Source organism: Homo sapiens, chromosome 8 (assembly GCF_000001405.40).
Source record: "Homo sapiens chromosome 8, GRCh38.p14 Primary Assembly".
Lineage (NCBI taxonomy): Eukaryota > Metazoa > Chordata > Mammalia > Primates > Hominidae > Homo > Homo sapiens.
In genome coordinates, this window is record NC_000008.11 from 143,677,679 (window position 1) to 143,695,739 (window position 18,061).

At 53.5% G+C, this 18,061-nt stretch overlaps 1 protein-coding gene across 12 annotated transcripts, besides 1 other annotated feature; it reads left to right on the forward strand.

Annotated features, from left to right (window-relative positions):
• Positions 4,376 to 4,601: a silencer, noted in NCBI's record as "fragment chr8:144764224-144764449 (GRCh37/hg19 assembly coordinates)". NCBI's record gives its function as "represses an EF-1alpha promoter that drives an FKBP-Casp9 reporter gene in an ReSE screen in HepG2 liver carcinoma cells {active_cell/tissue: HepG2}" and the evidence as "EXISTENCE:reporter gene assay evidence [ECO:0000049][PMID:32094911]".
• ZNF707 (zinc finger protein 707) lies at positions 6,801 to 17,707 on the forward strand. Of its 12 annotated transcripts, NM_001288805.2 has the most exons (8): positions 6,801 to 6,864; positions 9,239 to 9,336; positions 10,316 to 10,389; positions 10,984 to 11,623; positions 12,379 to 12,445; positions 13,395 to 13,521; positions 13,922 to 14,035; positions 15,993 to 17,707. In NM_001288805.2, exons 5-8 carry the CDS (start codon positions 12,431 to 12,433, stop codon positions 16,850 to 16,852), a joined length of 1,116 nt encoding a protein of 371 aa, NP_001275734.1. In that variant the 5' UTR covers positions 6,801 to 6,864; positions 9,239 to 9,336; positions 10,316 to 10,389; positions 10,984 to 11,623; positions 12,379 to 12,430; the 3' UTR covers positions 16,853 to 17,707. The 12 variants fall into 12 exon arrangements, 8 of the variants coding, with proteins under 8 accessions (NP_001275734.1, NP_776192.2, NP_001275735.1 ...); NM_173831.4 differs by lacking the exon at positions 9,239 to 9,336 and having other exon boundaries at positions 11,526 to 11,623; NR_110191.2 differs by lacking the exons at positions 9,239 to 9,336; positions 10,316 to 10,389; positions 10,984 to 11,623 and adding an exon at positions 9,703 to 9,800 and having other exon boundaries at positions 13,395 to 13,554.
• The last annotated feature ends 354 nt before the right edge of the window (positions 17,708 to 18,061 follow it).

The following is an 18,061-nucleotide window of genomic DNA, read 5'->3' on the forward strand; positions in this document are numbered from 1 at the left end:
CTGCGAGCTCTGCCTCCCGGGTTCACGCCATTCTCCTGCCTCAGCCTCCTGAGTAGCTGGGACTACAGGTGCCCGCCACCACACCCGGCTAATTTTTTGTATTTTTAGTAGAGATGGGGTTTCACCGTGTTAGCCAGGATGGTCTCGATCTCCTGACCTCGTGATCCGCCCGCCTCTGCCTCCCAAAGTGCTGGGATTACAGGCGTGAGCTACCGTGCCCGGCCATAACCCTAGAAATTCATGGGGCTGGACTGGATCTTCAAGTAAATATTGTGGTTTGAGGAGAAGTTTATAAACGCTCTCCTGAGCCAGTATTTCAAACCTTCTATGATGAACTGAATGTGCCAGCACCAGAAATTCCAGGAAAAATAAGAAATTTGTTTGCAATTAGCTGACCATGTAGCCCAGTCTCTCAATGTCACTTCATGCTATGTGTGTGGAGGAACTATAATAAAAGACCAATGGCCACGGGAAGCCCAAGAATTAGTACCTACAGACCCAGTTCCTGACGAATTCCTGGCTCAGAAAAATCACCCTGATAACTTCCGGGTCCTAAAAGCCTCAATCACTAGACAATACTGTATAGCAAGAGTAAGGGGCCGGGCGCGGTGGCTCACGCCTGTAATCCCAGCACTTTGGGAGGCCGAGGCGGGCGGATCACAAGGTCAGGAGATGGAGACCATCCTGGCTAACACGGTGAAACCCCGTCTCTACTAAAAATATAAAAAATTAGCCAGGCGTGGTGGCGGGCGCCTGTAGTCCCAGCTGCTCGGGAGGCTGAGGCAGGAGAATGGCGTGAACCCGGGAGGCAGAGCTTGTAGTGAGCTGAGATCACGCCACTGCACTCCAGCCTGGGTGACAGAGCAAGACTCCGTCTCAAAAAAAAAAAAAAAAAAAAAAGAGTAAGGAAGGACTTCACCCTTCCTGTAGGACGACTCAGCTGCCTTAGGCAAAAACTGTATAATGGTACTACAAAAACAGCCACCTAGTGGAGTTCAAACCATACTAAGAAAAATCCATTTAGTAAATTCCCAAAGTTGCAAACCGTGTGGACCCATCCGGAGTCCCACCGAGACTGGACAGCCCCCACTGGATTATACTGAATGTGTGGGCATAGGCCTTACACCAAATTACCCGACCAGTGGGCAGGCAGTTGTGTGATTGGCACTATTAAACCATCTTTCTTCCTACTGCCTATAAAGACAGGTGAACTCCTGGGCTTCCCTATGTTTCCCGCGAAAAGAGAAGCATAGCTATAAAAAAATAAGAAAGATAATAAATGGCCCCCTGAGAGAATGATGGAATATTATAGGCCTGCTACTTGGGCACAAGATGGCTTGTGGGGATACCGGACCCCCATCTACATGCTCAACCAAATCATACGGTTACAAGCTGTCTTAGAAATAATCACTAATAGGACCGGCAGAGCCTTGACTATTCTGGCCCGGCAAGAAACTCAGATGAGAAATGCTATCTATCAAAATAAATTGACTCTCGACTACTTGCTAGCAGCTGAAGGAGAAGTCTGTGGGAAATTGAACCTTACCAATTGCTGCCTGCACATACATGATCGGGGCAAGTAGTTGAAGATACAGTTAAAGACATGACGAAACTGGCACATGTGCCTGTACAAGCGTGGCACGGATTTGATCCTGAGGCCATGTTTGAAAATGGTTCCCAGCGCTAAGAGGATTTAAAACTCTTATAATAAAAATTACAGTAGTAATAAGAACCTGCTTACTGATCCGTTGTTTACTACCTGTACTCCTTCAAATGGTAAAAGGTTTCATCACTACTCTAGTTCACCAGAATGCTTCAGCACAGCCGAGCGCGGTGGCTCACGCCTGTAATCCCAGCTTTTTGGGAGGCTGAGGCAGGCGGATCATGAGGTCAGGAGATCGAGACCATCCTGGCTAACGCGGTGAAACCCCGTCTCTACTAAAAATACAAAAAAAAAAAATTAGCTGGGCATGGTGGCGGGCGCCTGTAGTCCCAGGTACTCAGGAGGCTGAGGCAGGAGAATGGCGTGAACCCGGGAGGCGGAGCTTGCAGTGAGCCGAGATCGCGCCCCTGCACTCCAGCCTGGGCGACAGAGCAAGACTCCGTCTCAAAAAAAAAAAAAAAAAAAAAAAAAAAAAGAATGCTTCAGCACAAGTGTACTTCATGAATCACTATCGCTCTGTCATGCAGGAAGACATAGCTAGTGAGGAAGAAGGTGAGAACTCCCACTAATAAAATGAGTGAGAGTCTCAAAGAGGGGGAATAAGGGAGGAGACTGCCCCTCATATCCTCTTATGCCCAATTTCTGCCTCCAAAGAAAGAAGAAGTAAAAGCTAAAAGGCAGAAATGAAATCTACAGGTAGACAGCCCGGCGCCGCACCCTGGGCCTGGTAGTTAAAGACTGACCCCTGACCTAACCGGTTGTGTTACCTATAGATTCCAGACATTGTAAAAATCCCTGTCCCGTTCTGTTCCGTTCTGATTACCAGTGCATGCAGCCCCCAGTCACGTACCCCCTGCTTGCTCAATTGATCACGACCCTCTCACGCGGACCCCCTTAGAGTTGTGAGCTCTTAAAAGGGACAGGAATTGCTCACTCAGGGAGCTCGGCTCTTGAGACAGGAGTCTTGCCAATGCTCTCGGCCAAATAAACTCCTTCCTTCTTTGACTTGGTGTCTGAGAGTTTTGTCTGCATCTTGTCCTGCTACAAGCTCACGGCAACCTCTGCCTCCTGGGTTCAAGCAATTCTTCTGCCTCAGCCTCCTGAGTAGCTGGGACTATAGGCACGCACCACCACGCCCGGCTATTTTTTGTATTTTTAGTAGAGATGGAGTTTCACCCTGTTGGCCAGACTGGCCTCGAACTCCTGACCTATGATCTGCCCGCCTCGGCCTCCCAAAGTGCTGGGATTATAGGCATGAGCCACCGCACCTGGCCCATACAGCTTTTATAATATTATAGATTTTTTTCTTCCCAATGTTTTAAGAGATGGGGTCTTGGCCGGGCACAGTGGCTCACGTCTGTAATCCCAGCACTTTGGGAGACCAAGGCAGGCAGATCAACTGAGGTCAGGGGTTCGAGACCAGCTTAGCCAACATGGTGAAACCCTGTCTCTACAAAACATACAAAAAATTAGCTGGGCATGGTGGCGGGCCCCTGTAGTCCCAGCTACTCGGGAGGCTGAGGCTGGAGAATCACTTGAACCCAGGAGGTGGAGCTTGCAGTGAGCCGAGATTGCACCACTGCACTCCAGCCTGAGCAACAGAGTCAGACTCCATCCGAAAAAAAAAAACAGTTTTGAAAGTGTTGAGCACCCGATTCTATCGCTGATCGGGGCGCCACTTGTAACCTGCACGGACCTAAGGGGACTGAACAAAGGGGGCGAACTCGGGAATAAAGACAAGAGACAAAAGAGTATATTTGGAAGAGGGCGTCAGGGGGCACCTTGCCTCTAGTGGACAAGGGCCCTGAGCTTTACACAGCCCTCCGTATCTATTAGGCAAAAGAGATAGTGAGAAAAGGGGGGTGATTGTCGGGTAATTGTCAGTCGGCCTTGAACAGGCTGCATCCTTTGGACAATAGAGTATTTCTCAATAGATAACTTCAAGGAGCCCAGAGCCAGGGAGCGAGGCCCTCAGCAAACCTTTTGGTGGCAGGGCAGTGTGAGTTCACCCACATCCTGCATTCATGGTAAACAGTTTGCTGTTTGATCATAGAGCCTCCAGCGGAATGCTGAGTTGGTCACGTCCCACGGGCCTTCGGCTCCCTGCATGAAGCTATGACACAGGTGCCCTCCCTACAGTCTTTCCCAGGCCTGCTGGGTCTCAAGTAGCCATGTGGCACCCAGGGAGGCTGTCAAGGCTGTCTGAGGCCCGAAGTTACATCCTAGGTTAGAGCTCAGGACAGAAGACAGAGCTGTGAAGGCAATGCCTGGAGGATCCAACCTCTCCCAGAATAGCCAGGAGGCAAAACTGGCGAAAGGGGACCACATGGGGCTGGATTCTGCTTGGGAGCTGCTGGTCGAGGCACTGAGAACTTGTCCCCAGACCTCACCATGGCCACCTGTCCAGCCCCGATTCCAGAGGCTCAAAACCAAAAACATAAGTAACAGCAAATCAACAAGTATTAAATTATATGTAACTAACAATTTTGAAGACATTCCTATTGACATAGGATGTTGTTCTCAGTCATTCTGCAAGCCAGGGACCTCCGGCCAGCGACGCCCCGCCAGGGCCTCGCTTGACACACTACCTGCTGCAGGAGACAGCCCGTCAACTCCCCCGAGTTCCCGAATGCTTGTCCACGGCCAAGAAGAATGAGGAGGCTCTGACAATCGAAGAGTGAGCAAGGCGGGGAATTTCACTGGGTGACGGGGCAGCTTTCAGTGGAGAGGGGACATGGCGTGGTCCCCCTACATGAAGGCAGGAAAGTTCCCCATGTTATGGACTCAGAATGGGGAGGGCGTGCTGATTGGTTTGTGAGTAATGCAAAAAAGGTTAAAGCAAAGGCACCACTGAAAGGTGGGCATGACAGTGTAGAAAGCCAATTAGAAAAGGGTAGGTATATGTAAAATAGGTGAAGGGTGGGACCAATCAGAGGAAAGTGCGCCAGACAGGAAGACAGGCTCTCAATCCGGTCTGAGGATTCGACTTGCAGCTTGGCTTTCAGGCTTTAAGCTGTTTTCAGCGTCGAGGTGGAGGTTTCACTGGGGACCTGCCCCCATTTGGCTGGGCATTTGGCTGCCTGCCTCCTGTCGCTATCACTCCTTTACTAGTGAGGACTAAACTGATCTTTTTCTCTCTTGCTCAAGTTCTTATCTAAAGGGCCTGGGGAGTCTGCCCTACAAACCATAAAATGTCATCAGATAGGTTTTATTTAACCCTATATAATTGGCTTAGTTTCCAACCTGACTCTAGCATAACGTCACATGACAGATAAAGGAAATCAAAATATTTTACTCTTTTTTTTTTTTTTTTTTTGAGACGGAGTCTCACTCTGTCGCCCAGGCTGGAATGGAGTGGCGCGATCTCGGCTCACTGCAAGCTCCGCCTCTGGGTTTCACACCGTTCTCCTGCCTCAGCCTCCCGAGTAGCTGGGACTACAGGCGCCCGCCACCATGCCCGGCTAATTTGTTGTATTTTTAGTAGAGACGGGTTTCACCATGTTAGCCAGGATGGTCTCGATCTCCTGACCTCGTGATCCACCCGCCTCGGCCTCCCAAAGTGCTGAGATTACAGGCGGGAGCCACCGTGCCCGGCCTATTTTACTTTTAAATATATTTCTTGGCTATACTTTGGATGCTTTCAGGTCATAGGTGGATTCAAAGATTTTCTGATTGGCAATTGGTTGAATAAGTTAAGTGATTACCTAAGACCTGGAATCTATAGAAAGGCGTGTCTAGGTTTGAACAGTTGGCCACCCTTGTGTGGGTGGAGTATTACATAGGTGCCTAGGCAAGAGACTGAAGGCACAAACTGTTTCAGTATAATAAAGAAAATAGTTAGAATAAGAATAGTCATAATACAAATTAGATATAGAGATGACCATGAACAATTATCAATCATTATTATAAACATTATTAATCATTAGCTTTTACCATTACTCTTTGTTGCATTACTAATATAACCTAGGAATAACCGGCGGATATAGGGTCGGGTGCTGAAGGGACATGGTGAGAAGTGACCTAGAAGGCAAGAGGTGAGCCTTCTGTCACTCCCACATCAGGGCTGCTTGAGGGCTCCTTGGTCAAGCCCTAACGCCAGTGTCTGGGAAGTCACCCGTTGCTTAGTAGACTGCGAAAGGGAGTCTCCTTTCCTTGGAGGAGTCAGGGAACACTCTGCTCCACCAGCTTCTTGTGGGAGGTTGGATATTACCCAGGCCTGGCCGCAGTCATCCGGAGGCCTAAACCCCTCCCTGTGGTGCTTCAATGTTCACGCTCCTTGTCCACTTTCGTGTTCCTCCTGTACTCCTGGTTCCTCTTTGAAGTTCGTAGTCGATAGCGGTAGAAGAAATAGTGAAAGTCTTAAAGTCTTTGATTAATGCTAACTTATGCTGCCTTCTCTCTCTGCTTCCGCTACCTAAGAGGGAAGGGCCCCCTGTCCTGTAATCATGTGACTTGCTTCACCTTGTCAATCACTTAGAAGATTCACCCTCCTTACCCTGGCCCCTTGTCTTGTATGCAATAAATATCAGCGCGCCCAGCCGTTTGGGGCCACTACCGGTCTCTGCGTCTTGATGGTAGTGGTCGCCCGGGCCCAGCTGTTTTCTCTTTATCTCTTTGTCTTGTGTCTTTATTTATTACAATCTCTCATCTCCGCACACGGGGACAACACCCGCTTAGCCCCGCAGGGCTGGACCCTACACCCTTGATTGGCTGGAACTGGGTGACTGGCAGGAGAGCAAGTGACAGTCTGTTCACACCTCCAGTTAGGTTACAGTTCACTTTGTAGGATAAACCTTTAGGCCGACTTTAGGTTATGAGGGCCGGGATCGGTGGTTCACGCCTGTAACCCCAGCACTTTGGGAGGCCAAGTCAGGCGGATCACCTGAGGTCAGGAGTTCAAAACCAGCCTGACCAACATGATGAAACCCCCGTCTCTACTAAAATTACAAAAAAATCAGCCGGGCGTCGTGGCGCTTGGCTGTGACCGGGGCGGGGCCTGCCGGCTGCGGCGGAACCACAAGCGGTGCGGGGCGAGGCGGGCGGCCTGGACGGCCTGGAAGGCCAGCGCGCACCACCGAGACGTGGGCTCCTAGAGGGGCCGGAAGCTTTCGGATAACAACTTCCGCTCGGGAAGTTTGTAAAAGTCTGGGCTACCGGCGCGGCGTAGTGGATGCAGCATCCTAGTGGAGGACGCCCCTGTGGTGAGTGCGCCCGTGTCCCCCGCCGCCCCTCCGTCCCTGGGTCGTGGGCTGTCAAACCTTCTAATTCTGCGGCCGCCCCAGGGCTGTGAGACCCAGCGTCGCGGCTGCTGGGACAGACCGGGGAGGCTGCCCGTGCCCTCGGCTATTCGGGGGCTGTTCTTCAGCTTCTTCCGGCTCGGCCTCCTCTTCTCTCCTCGCTCCTTACACTTGCAGGTTTGTCAGGACCCGGTTGCGTATCCTCTTGAAGCTGGTTTCTTCCTGGCCGACCCCGTCCGCGATCGTGACCTTAGTTATCCCTCATAGACACTTTCCACACCTGTGTCTCCAGCCCTATCGCTCCGATGAGACCCGAGCGCTTAGACTTGATTCATAACACCCAAAGCTCCCCGGCCCCAGGCTGAGCTCCTGCAACCTCCACACCCCACCCTCTGGTCCTCCCAGGCATTCCACCGCGAAGGGGAGGAGGCAGAAACCCGAGATTCGCTTCTTCTCCTTTCCTGCCCACGCCCAGCCACACAGTCACTGGTGCGTTAGCTCCATAACTGAACCATTTGCCTCCTTGCCATTCCCACCCTGTAAGTCCCAATCCTGGCCGTCTTCCTCTCTCACCTGAACGCCTCCCTGTCTTCTCCCCACCCCCATCCTGTTTTGCTGCTTTCTCATTTGTTCATCACAGAGGATCTTTTATAAAATGTAGCTTAGCCAGGCAAGGTGGCTCCCGCCTGTAATCTCAGCTCTTGGGAGGCCGAGGCAGGTGGATCACTTGAGTCCAGGAGTTCTAGACCAGCTTGGTCAGCATGTTGAAACCTTGTCTCTACAAAAAATACAAAAATTAGCCGGGTGTGGTGGTGCACGCCTGTAATCCCAGTTACTCTGGGGAGGCTGAGGCAAGAGAATCGTTTGAACCCAAGAGGCAGAGGTTGCAGTGAGCAGAGATCGCGCCACTGCACTCCAGCCTGGGCGACAGAGCGAGACATCATCTTATTAAAAAAAAAAAAAAAAAAAAGGTAGCTTAGGCCGGATGCTGTGGCTGACGCCTGTAACCCCAGCACTTGGGGAGGCTGAGGCCAGAGGATCTCTTGAGGCCAGGAGTTTGAGATCAGTCTTGGCAACATAGTGAGACCCCGTTTCTGCAAAAAACTTAAAACAATTGCAGGGCATGTTGGCACATGCGCTTTTGGTCCCAGCTACTGGGGAGACTGAGGTGGGAGGATCACTTGAGCCCAGGAGGTCGAGGCTGCAGTGAGCTGTGATTGCACTACTGCATTCCAGCCTGGGTGACAGAGCAAGGACCTGCCTCAGAGAAAAAAAAATCCTGTGTTAATTTGCCTAGGGGAAAAAAAGTAGCTATGACAATATCCTTCTGTTCTCCCGTATTAAACTTTGTTGCATTACACATGAAACCACGGCTCAGGAGGCCTTGAGGAATCTGGCTTTAGCCCCTTTCCTGGCCTATCTCACGGTTCTCCCTGACTCTGCTTTCCAGGCTGGGAAGCCCAGTCCAGGTTGTGCAAACACAGCTGTTGAGCTGAGGGGAGAGGGTGTTTTTTTTTTGTTTTTGTTTTTGTTTTTTTTGAGATCGTCTCGCTCTGTCTCCCAGGCTGAAGTGCAGTGGCATAATCTCGGCTCACTGCAACCTCCGCCTCCCGGGTTCAAGCAGTTCTCCTGCTTCAGCCTCCCAAGTAGCCTGGCTAATTTTTTGCATTTGTAGTAGAGATGGGGTTTCACCATGTTGGCCAGGCTGGTCTCGAACTTCTGACCTCAGGTGATCCACCTGCCTCGGCCTCCCCAAGTGCTGGGATTACAGGCGTGAACCACCGCGAATGGCCGGGAGCTGTTATTTTTATCACTGTGGTCATTGCTACTTGCTAGAGGAACTCAGCAAGGTGTTCTAATTGGAAAACACCACCCATGACCCATGTGCTCAGTGTGCCTTTTCATGTTTTTATAGACCGTTGTATAACTTTGGTTGAAGTGTCTGTTCTAATATTTTGCCCAGTTTAAATTTTATTTCTCTTTTTTATTGATTTGTAGGAGTTACAATTCTTTATATAAGTCCTTTGTCAGATACATGTATTGGGAATATTTTCTCTTAGTCTGTGGCTTACCTTTGTGTCTCTTTTTAGAAAAAAAAATTTAAACAATAGAGACAGAGGTCTCCCTATGTTGCCCAGGCTGGTCTCAAACTCCTGGCCTCAAGCAATCCCCCTGCCTTAGCCTCCCAAAGTGCTGGGATTACAGGCGTGAGCCACTGCACCCCGTCTCCTTTTTTTTTTTTCTTAACTGCCTTGGTAAACAAAAATTTTTAATTCTGATAAATCCAATTTGTGATTTTTTTTTTTTTTTGAGACGGAGCTTTGCTTTTGTTGCCCAGGCTGGAGTGCAATGGCGCGATATCGGCTCGCCGCAACTTCTGCCTCCTGGGTTCAAGTGAATCTCCTGCCCCAGCCTCCTGAGCAGCTGGGATGACAGGCAAGTGCCACCACGCCTGGCTAATTTTGTATTTTTAGTAGAGATGGGGTTTCTCCATGTTGGCCAGGCTGGTCTCAAACTCCGTACCTCAGGTGATCCGCCCACCTCGGCCTCCCAAAGTGCTGGGATTACAGGCGTGAGCCACTGCATCCGGCCTGAATTTGTAATTTTTTAAAAGTGCTTTTAGGGATCCATGAAAGAAATGTTTGTCTACCCCAATGTTGTGAAGATGGTCTCTCTGTGTCACCCAGGCTGGAGTGCAGTGGCACAATCTTGGCTCACTACAACCTCTACCTCCAGTTTGTGTTTTTTGTTTGTTTGTTTTTGTTTTTGTTTTTAAGACGGAGTTTTGCTCTTGTTCCCCAGGCCGGACTGCAGGGGTGCGATCTTGGCTCACAGCAACTTCCACCTCCCGGGTTCAAGCGATTCTCCTGCCTCAGCTTCCCAAGTAGCTGGGATGACAGGTGCCTGCCACCATGCCTGGCTAATTTTTGTATTTTTAGTAGAGACAGGGTTTTGCCATATTGGCCAGACTGGTCTCAAACTCCCCACCTCAGGTGATCCACCCGCCTCAGCCTCCCAAAGTGCTGGGATTCTAGGCATGAGCCACCACGCCCGACCTACTTCTTTCTTTGTAATCTTATGGCTTTATGTGTTTTTTCTACCTCCTTGCACTGACTCAGGCCTCCAATAAGGTGACAGAGAGAAGCAGTGGGCAGACAGCCCTGCTTTTTCCTGGTCTCAGAGGGAAAGAGCTCCGTAGTGGCCCATGAAGCAGGATGTTGGTTGCAGGTCTGCCGGGTTGAAGAAGTTCTCTTCTGTTCCTTGTTTGCTGAGAGTTTTTGTTGGGATTAGGTGTTGAATTTTAACAAATGCCTTTTCTGCAGCTATTGAGATAATAGCTGTTATATGGTTTTCTCCTTTATTCTGTTAATTTGGTTAGTTATATCATTTTCTTTTTTTTTTTTTTTTTTTTGAGATGGAGTCTCACTCTGTTGCCCAGGCTGGAGTACAGTGGCGTGATCTCGGCTCACTGCAAGCTCTGCCTCCCGGGTTCGTGCCATTCTCCTGCCTCAACTTCCCGAGTAGCTGGGACTGCAGGCTCGTGCCACCACGCCCGGCTAATTTTTTGTTTTTTAGTAGAGATGGGGTTTCACCGTGTTAGCCAGGATGGAGTTATGTCATTTTCAAATGACAGCAAATGTTGGGGATTAACATTGTGATTAAAGTTGATGCTATGCTGTTGAAAGAGTGAAAAAAAAATATCAAGTTGAAAAGCATATTCATGAAAACATGTAGCAGTTAATGTAACCACCTGTGAGTGTCAGAAGGAGAAAGGGAATGTCTGTGTACCTGCTGTGCTGGAGGTGGGAGGGACGAGGGGTCAGGGGTGAACGCCGAGGGAGCCGCCCCATGCAGTGAGTGTTGAGTGCAGGTGGTGGAGGGAGCCTCCTGGGCACCAACTGCAGTTAATGGGGATCAAACCAGCTGTGTACTCTTAGGGTCCATGTCACTTGGTCATGACAGAGAATTCTTTTTATAAACTGCTGGATTTGGCTTCCTAATATTTTTTGAGAATTTGTGTTTATGAGAGTTTGGTAGGTAATTTTTTTGTAATATCTTTTTTTTTTTTTTTTTTTTTTTCAGACAGCGTCTCAGTCTAACATCCAGGCTGGAGTGCACTGGCATGATCTCAGCTCACTGCAACCTCCGCCTCCCATATTCAAGCAGTCCCCCCACCTCAGCCTCCTGAGTAGCTGGGACTGCATATGTGCACTGCCACGCCCCGCTAATTATTGTATTGTTTATAGAGACAGGCTGGGCAACTGCTGGGCTCGAACAGTCCTCCTGCCTCAGCCTCCTAGGGTGTTAGGATTACAGGCGTGAGCCACTGTGCTTGGCCCCTTGTAATATCTCTGTCAGGTTTTCGGTTTGGGTTTTGCTGGCCTCATTAAGACAGACTGGATAGCGTCTGCTCTTCCTCTGTTCACTAAATAGCTTCTAAGATCAGTACTGTGCTTCCGTAGGCTTTGGTGGAGTTTACCAGGGAATCCAGCTGGGTGTGGTATTTTCTGTGTGGGAAGGGTTCCAGTTACATTTTCAATTGCCTTATCAGATGGAAGGCTTCCCTTTCTTTTGTCAGTTTCATGATACTGTGTTTTTCATCGAGTTTGTCTGTTTCATCTCAGTTGCTGAACCTGTTTGCATGAGTTGCTCCTGACGGCCCTTTAGGATACTTCCATGTCTGTAGGGTCTAGAGTGACATCTCCTCCCCTCCCCTGACGAGGTAACCAGGCATGGGCTATCTTCCTCCAGCTGGTTCTGTCTCTTCTCAGGGGTGCCTGTGGGGCTGGCCTCTTCTGCATCTTGGGGCTCTGAGCTTTACTCACGAAGGAGGCAGGACCCACTGTGGCAGGAGGGCAGTGGGATGCCAGGGTGGTTCTCTACAGACCTGGGGGTAGAAGCTGGATCTCAGCGGGCTGGGGCCCTAAGGTTTAGGGGATCTTGTGGCTTGATCTGGAGACTCAGTGAACATTATTGGGGTTTCTCGGGGCTGCACCAGGTTTTCACTTGGGGGAAGGCTGCGAGGTGGCCTCCTTGTAGCGTACCCGAGAGCATCCTCCTGGCACAGTGCTGTGGGAACGGGCTGCCCGCCTGTCTCCTGAGGAGGAGCCTCCGCTGCCTCAGTTGCGGTTAGACTCTCCAGTCATGTGTTTGCAGCTAAGCTGTTGGCTTTCAGCCAGCAATGGCTGGCCTGTCCTCCTCTGGTGACAGGCCTGGCTTGCTGTCTGGTATTTCAGAGTTCTTGTTTGTGGAGGTGGCACACTGTACCCAGCTGTCCCTTAAAGATATGTTGGCCCCTCACCACTGCCAAGTTTCCCCACACCTGGTGGCTGTCAGTAGTTACAGAGCAGACCCTGTGTGTGCATCACTCATTTTTCCTGAATTCCCCGTGATTTGCTGAGTGGGGGGGCTCCTGGGGTCAGGTGCGGGGGGCATTCCCAGGCCGGCTATACCCGCTTACATTTCTTGTCTCCCCAGATCTGCCCTCCTTGGCACTGTGCTTCCCCAGAGGGGTGGCCTCGCTGTTCCCATGGACATGGCCCAGGTGAGCCCTGCTGCTGCCGAGCGCAGCCTCCCTTCTGCCCTGCTGGCTGCCTGAGACCCCAGCACACACGCGGGGAGGGTCTGTGGCAGTGGCTTCCCAGGCACTGTGCCCGTGTCTGCCTTTCTGCCTTCTCTCTTAAGGGGTGGGGAAAGAAAAAGAAAATTGGGGCCAGGCGCAATGCCTCACGCCTGTAATCCTAGCACTTTGGGAGGCTGAGGCAGGTGGATCTCGAGGTCAGGAGATCAAGACCATCCTGGCTAACACGGTGAAACCCCATCTCTACTAAAAATACAAAAAATTAGCTGGGCACGCACCTGTAGGCCCAGCTACTCGGGAGGCTGAGGCAGGAGAATTGCTTGAACCTGGGAGGCGGAGGTTGCAGTGAGCCAAGATCGTGCCACCACTCCAGCCTGGTGACAGAGCAAGACTCCGTCTCAAAAAAGAAAAAAAAAAAGAAAAGAAAATTGGATTCATTGACACTAGGAGAGTAGTGGCTGTTGTAGGAAAGTAGACTAGATTCTCTTAGTCCACTAGAGCTACCGTAACCAAACATGACACAGTGGGTGGTTTACACACATGCACTTCCTCTGTTCCAAAGGCTGACGTCCAAGATCAGATGCTGCAGATCTGGTTTCTGGTGGGGGCCACTATTGTGCTGTGTTCACGCGTGTGCGGGGAGGGAGCCGGGGGGCTCTCTGGAGTCTCCTGTGAGGACCAGGTCCATGGGTCAGGGCCCCTCCCTTCTGACCTCACTTAACCTTAATCTCTTCCACAGAGGCCCATCTCCAGACACAGCCACTCGGGGCTCTGGGCTTCAGTGAATGGATTTAGGGGACACAAACAATCAGTCCACCGCAGGGCCACTCCCATTCCCCCTTCCCACCCAGACCTGTGGGCTGAGCCTTCTTTTTCTTGGGAATGGCCTCTTCGGGAGCTGTGTGTGTTGCAGGAGCCAGTGACCTTCAGGGACGTGGCCATCTACTTCTCAAGGGAGGAGTGGGCGTGTCTGGAACCCAGCCAGAGGGCCCTCTACCGGGACGTGATGCTGGACAACTTCAGCAGTGTGGCTGCTCTGGGTGAGCACGGGCTGAGCGCAGCGTGAGCACAGGGTGAGTGCTGGGAGAGCTCTGCCGCTGCCTCTGGGCCCAGCTCGTCCAGGACAGTAGTGGGGCCTCCCAGCTGAGGGGGCTCAGGAGCTAGAAGTTATTGGCTTATGTAGACAGAGGGGCCCACTCAGCGTTTCTCTCGGGCTCCCTGGAGGCAGCCTCATCTTCCTTCCTCTGACCTTGCCAGGGCCTTCCGTGGGCCTTGGTGTCCAGGCCCCTCCCTTCCTGTCATCTCTGCTTTGGGGTGGCTTCTCCAGGGCCTCCCGAGGGCTGGCCTGGCGTCTTAGGCTGATGCACAACTGCTCTGAGCCTCGACCCTCACTTTGTCCTCAGTACAAGTAAAACAGAAACTTTTCTCTCCTTTGAGAAGGATTTTGCAGCCCCAGACCAGACCTCGTCTCTCGCCTGGAACAGTGGGAGGAGCCGTGGGTTGAAGACCGGGAGAGACCTGAGTTCCAGGCAGTGCAGAGGGGACCCCGGCCAGGTGAGTGCTGGGCTGTCTGGGCTCGGCGGGCCCCGTCCCTGTGGCCCACAGCTCCTGGGTAGTGCTCAGCACGCTGCAGTGACCAAGGGTGTGTCCTTCCCATGGGAGAGCAGACACACAGCTGCTCTCTAAATTAGACAGGCATTAGAGACGTAGGGGCAGCCACGCTCCTGCCCTGATGGACACTGGCCGGGGGTGGGGCTCGAAAGGCATAGTGCTGCAGGATGACATACAGCTGCAGCTCGGAGGGGCCTGAGGCTGGAGTGACACTTGAAGCCTGCACCTAGCCACCCAGGTGCTGTCCGGCGGAGGCCATTGGTGTGGGTGTCTGACCTCCCTGTGATGGCCATGTGGGGTCCCAGGCCTGGTACTGACTGCACGTGAGGGTCTCCAGGTATGTGGCTCTGGGTAGGAGTTTGCTCCACGTCCTTGTTTGCAAAACTGGGACAGTGGCCATGCTTCCCTCCATTAGGTGAGGGTTGCTCTTGGGGCAGTTGTCAGCAGGGTTTTGCTTTTTACTTACATTTTCAGAGTGGGATGGAGCAGCTATGTGAACACGAGCCCTGGGAGGTCCCCGGGTATGTGGAGTCCCCGACTGTGGAGTGTCAGGTTCCTAGGTGTGTGGAGCCCCCGACTGTGGAGTGTCAGGTCCCTGGGTGTGTGGAGCCCCTGACTCTGGAGTGTCAGGTCCCCGGGTGTGTGGAGCCCCCGGCTGGGGAGGTGTCGGATCCCCGGGTGTGTGGAGCCCCCGGCTGGGGAGGTGTCGGATCCCCGGGTGTGTGGAGCCCCCGGCTGGGGAGGTGTCGGATCCCCGGGTGTGTGGAGCCCCCGGCTGGGGAGGTGTTGCATCCCCGGGTGTGTGGAGCCCCCGGCTGGGGAGGTGTCGGATCCCCGGGTGTGTGGAGCCCCCGGCTGGGGAGGTGTCGGATCCCCGGGTGTGTGGAGCCCCCGGCTGGGGAGGTGTCGCATCCCCGGGTGTGTGGAGCCCCCGGCTGGGGAGGTGTCGGATCCCCGGGTGTGTGGAGCCCCCGGCTGGGGAGGTGTCGCATCCCCGGGTGTGTGGAGCCCCCGGCTGGGGAGGTGTCGCATCCCCGGGTGTGTGGAGCCCCCGGCTGGGGAGGTGTCGCATCCCCGGGTGTGTGGAGCCCCCGGCTGGGGAGGTGTCGCATCCCCGGGTGTGTGGAGCCCCCGGCTGAAGGGAGCCATGGCTCTGAGGCTGAGTGGTTGAGAATCAGGTGGAGCTACCCGTCTTCTAGACGACATCCTAGCACCACCTCCACCCGCATGAGTGGGGCCTGCTGGCGTGGACAGGGTGAAAGGACATTCTCTTGGCCCAGTTGCTTCTGTTGGTTGGCAGGCATGTGTCGGCTCTCCCTCACGTCAGCAGTGCCGGGTGGCCTGCGTACCACCGGGGCTGGGGAAGCATCTGAGCTCATCTTGGCTTCCGCTGTTGATACCTGTGGCTCATCTGTGTTTCTTTGAACGAGTTTTCCTGATCACTCGTAACCATGTGGAATGAGCTGAGTCAATGGAAGCCAGTCCACGCACACAGCAGGAGGGTCCTCTGGGCTTTTTTTTTTTTTTTGAGACGGAGTCTCGCTCTGTCGCCCAGGCTGGACTGCGGACTGCAGTGGCGCAATCTCGGCTCACTGCAAGCTCCGCTTCCCGGGTTCACGCCATTCTCCTGCCTCAGCCTCCCGAGTAGCTGGGACCACAGGCGCCCGCCACTGCGCCCGGCTAATTTTTTGTATTTTTTTTTTTTTAGTAGAGACGGGGTTTCACCTTGTTAGCCAGGATGGTCTCGATCTCCTGACCTCATGATCCACCCGCCTCGGCCTCCCAAAGTGCTGGGATTACAGGCGTGAGCCACCGCGCCCGGCCTCCTCTGGGCTTTGCTGGAGGCACTGCCTGGCTGTGGGCCACTGGCTCTGTGTAAGGGTGTCTGTTCCTTCCACAGGGGCAAGGAAGTCTGCAGACCCCAAGAGACCTTGTGATCATCCAGCTTGGGCTCACAAGAAAACCCACGTGCGGCGAGAAAGAGCCAGGGAAGGAAGCAGCTTTAGGAAGGGCTTCAGGCTGGACACGGATGACGGGCAGCTTCCCAGAGCTGCTCCAGAAAGGACAGACGCCAAGCCCACGGCTTTCCCGTGTCAGGTGCTCACGCAGCGTTGTGGGCGGCGGCCGGGCCGCAGAGAGCGCCGGAAGCAGCGCGCAGTAGAGCTGTCATTCATCTGCGGCACGTGCGGGAAGGCGCTCAGCTGCCACAGCCGGCTGCTCGCTCACCAGACGGTGCACACGGGAACCAAGGCCTTCGAGTGCCCCGAGTGCGGCCAGACCTTCCGGTGGGCTTCAAACCTGCAGCGCCACCAGAAGAACCACACGCGCGAGAAGCCCTTCTGCTGCGAGGCCTGCGGGCAGGCGTTCAGCCTGAAGGACCGCCTGGCTCAGCACCGCAAGGTCCACACCGAGCACAGGCCCTACTCGTGTGGCGACTGTGGGAAAGCCTTCAAGCAGAAGTCCAACCTTCTCAGACACCAGCTGGTGCACACCGGGGAGCGGCCGTTCTACTGCGCGGACTGCGGCAAAGCCTTCCGGACCAAGGAGAACCTCAGCCACCACCAGAGGGTCCACAGCGGGGAGAAGCCCTACACCTGTGCCGAGTGCGGCAAGTCCTTCCGGTGGCCCAAGGGCTTCAGCATCCACCGGAGGCTGCACCTGACGAAGAGGTTCTACGAGTGCGGCCACTGTGGGAAAGGCTTCCGTCACCTGGGGTTCTTCACGCGGCATCAGAGGACTCACAGGCACGGGGAGGTGTAGGGGCGCCCGAAGAGTGGGGTGCTGCGCCTCTGCGGGAGTACTGGGTCCTGAGGGAGAGCTGCAGTGAGAAGTTGCTCTTCAGCCTGGAAAATCAACCTGAATTCAGAGAAGCCTTCTTAGTCCTCAGAGCTCCCCAGTCCCCCGAGAAGTTTACTGGGAAAACTGCCAGGTGGGAGAAGCAGAGCCATGGGTACGCCGGAGATGGCGGGGGCTCTGGAGATGGCGGGGGCTGCGCCCCGGCGCCGGGCATCCTGGGGATGTGCTGAGAGTGTGCGCGACCCCGGAGCCACGTGCCAGGCCGGGCTCAGAGGCGGAGAAGCCTGCCTGGTGCCCACAGCCGTCTGGCTCAGGGACTCCACCCTGGCCCCGAGTCGCCGTCTGCTGGGCCTTTCCTTCCTGGCTCTGCACCCCATGCTGGCTGCCCGGTCTGGCTTCCCTTCTTGTCTCTGTCTTGGGCGAGGCAGCTGTGAGCATTGCACAGAGGCAAAGACCCTCCTGCAGCCTCTGCGCTGGGCCGTAGAAACAAGAGCCTTTGTAATACTGAACCTCATTCAAGGATTAGGAGTGGTGGTTAGGTCAGGGCCACCCCCAGTGCTGCAGGAACGGCCTCCACCCAGCTCTGTTGGTCAGAGCCTGGGTCATGCACCTGGAGTTGGGAGATCAAGTTGGGTCTCAGGGCAGTGAGGTGGCCATATCCACCACATCGCATTTCGTGGGGGAAGAGGTGACCTCTTTGTTTTAAACTTAAGGTGTCTGCTTATCCAGCCAGAAATAAAAATCTGCCAGTGGTGTTCCCAAGGGAAGACCCCCGTGGGAATGGGTCGGGACACTGCCGTGTTTCAGGTTAGCCAATTATTTTTGCTTTTGCCTGTTTTTCTTTAAGAATTGCAGCCAGGCCAGGCGTGGTGGCTCACGCCTGAAATCCCAGCTACTCGGGAGGCTGAGGCAGGAGAATCGTTTGAATCCGGGAGGTGGAGGTTGTGGTGAGCCAAGGTTGCGCCATTGCACTCCAGCCTGGGCAGTAAGAGTGAAACTCCGTCTCAAAAAAAAAATTCCAGCCAACAGATGCATATGTAATGTTGGAATCAGAAACGAGTTTACAAGAAATAGGGGGATGAGGAGAAGGTTGAACACACCGAGAGGAAGCCCTGAGCCAGATCCGGCTGGAGATGCCACCAGACGGCGACGTTTCTGTGGGAAGACGGGCAC

Bases quoted from the DNA above. Each gene is read 5' to 3' on its own strand.
- ZNF707 (NM_001288805.2), top strand. The intron at 13,522-13,921 runs GTGAGCACGGGC...TCCTTTGAGAAG, and splicing joins CAGCAGTGTGGCTGCTCTGG to GATTTTGCAGCCCCAGACCA. The intron at 14,036-15,992 runs GTGAGTGCTGGG...TTCCTTCCACAG, and splicing joins GCAGAGGGGACCCCGGCCAG to GGGCAAGGAAGTCTGCAGAC.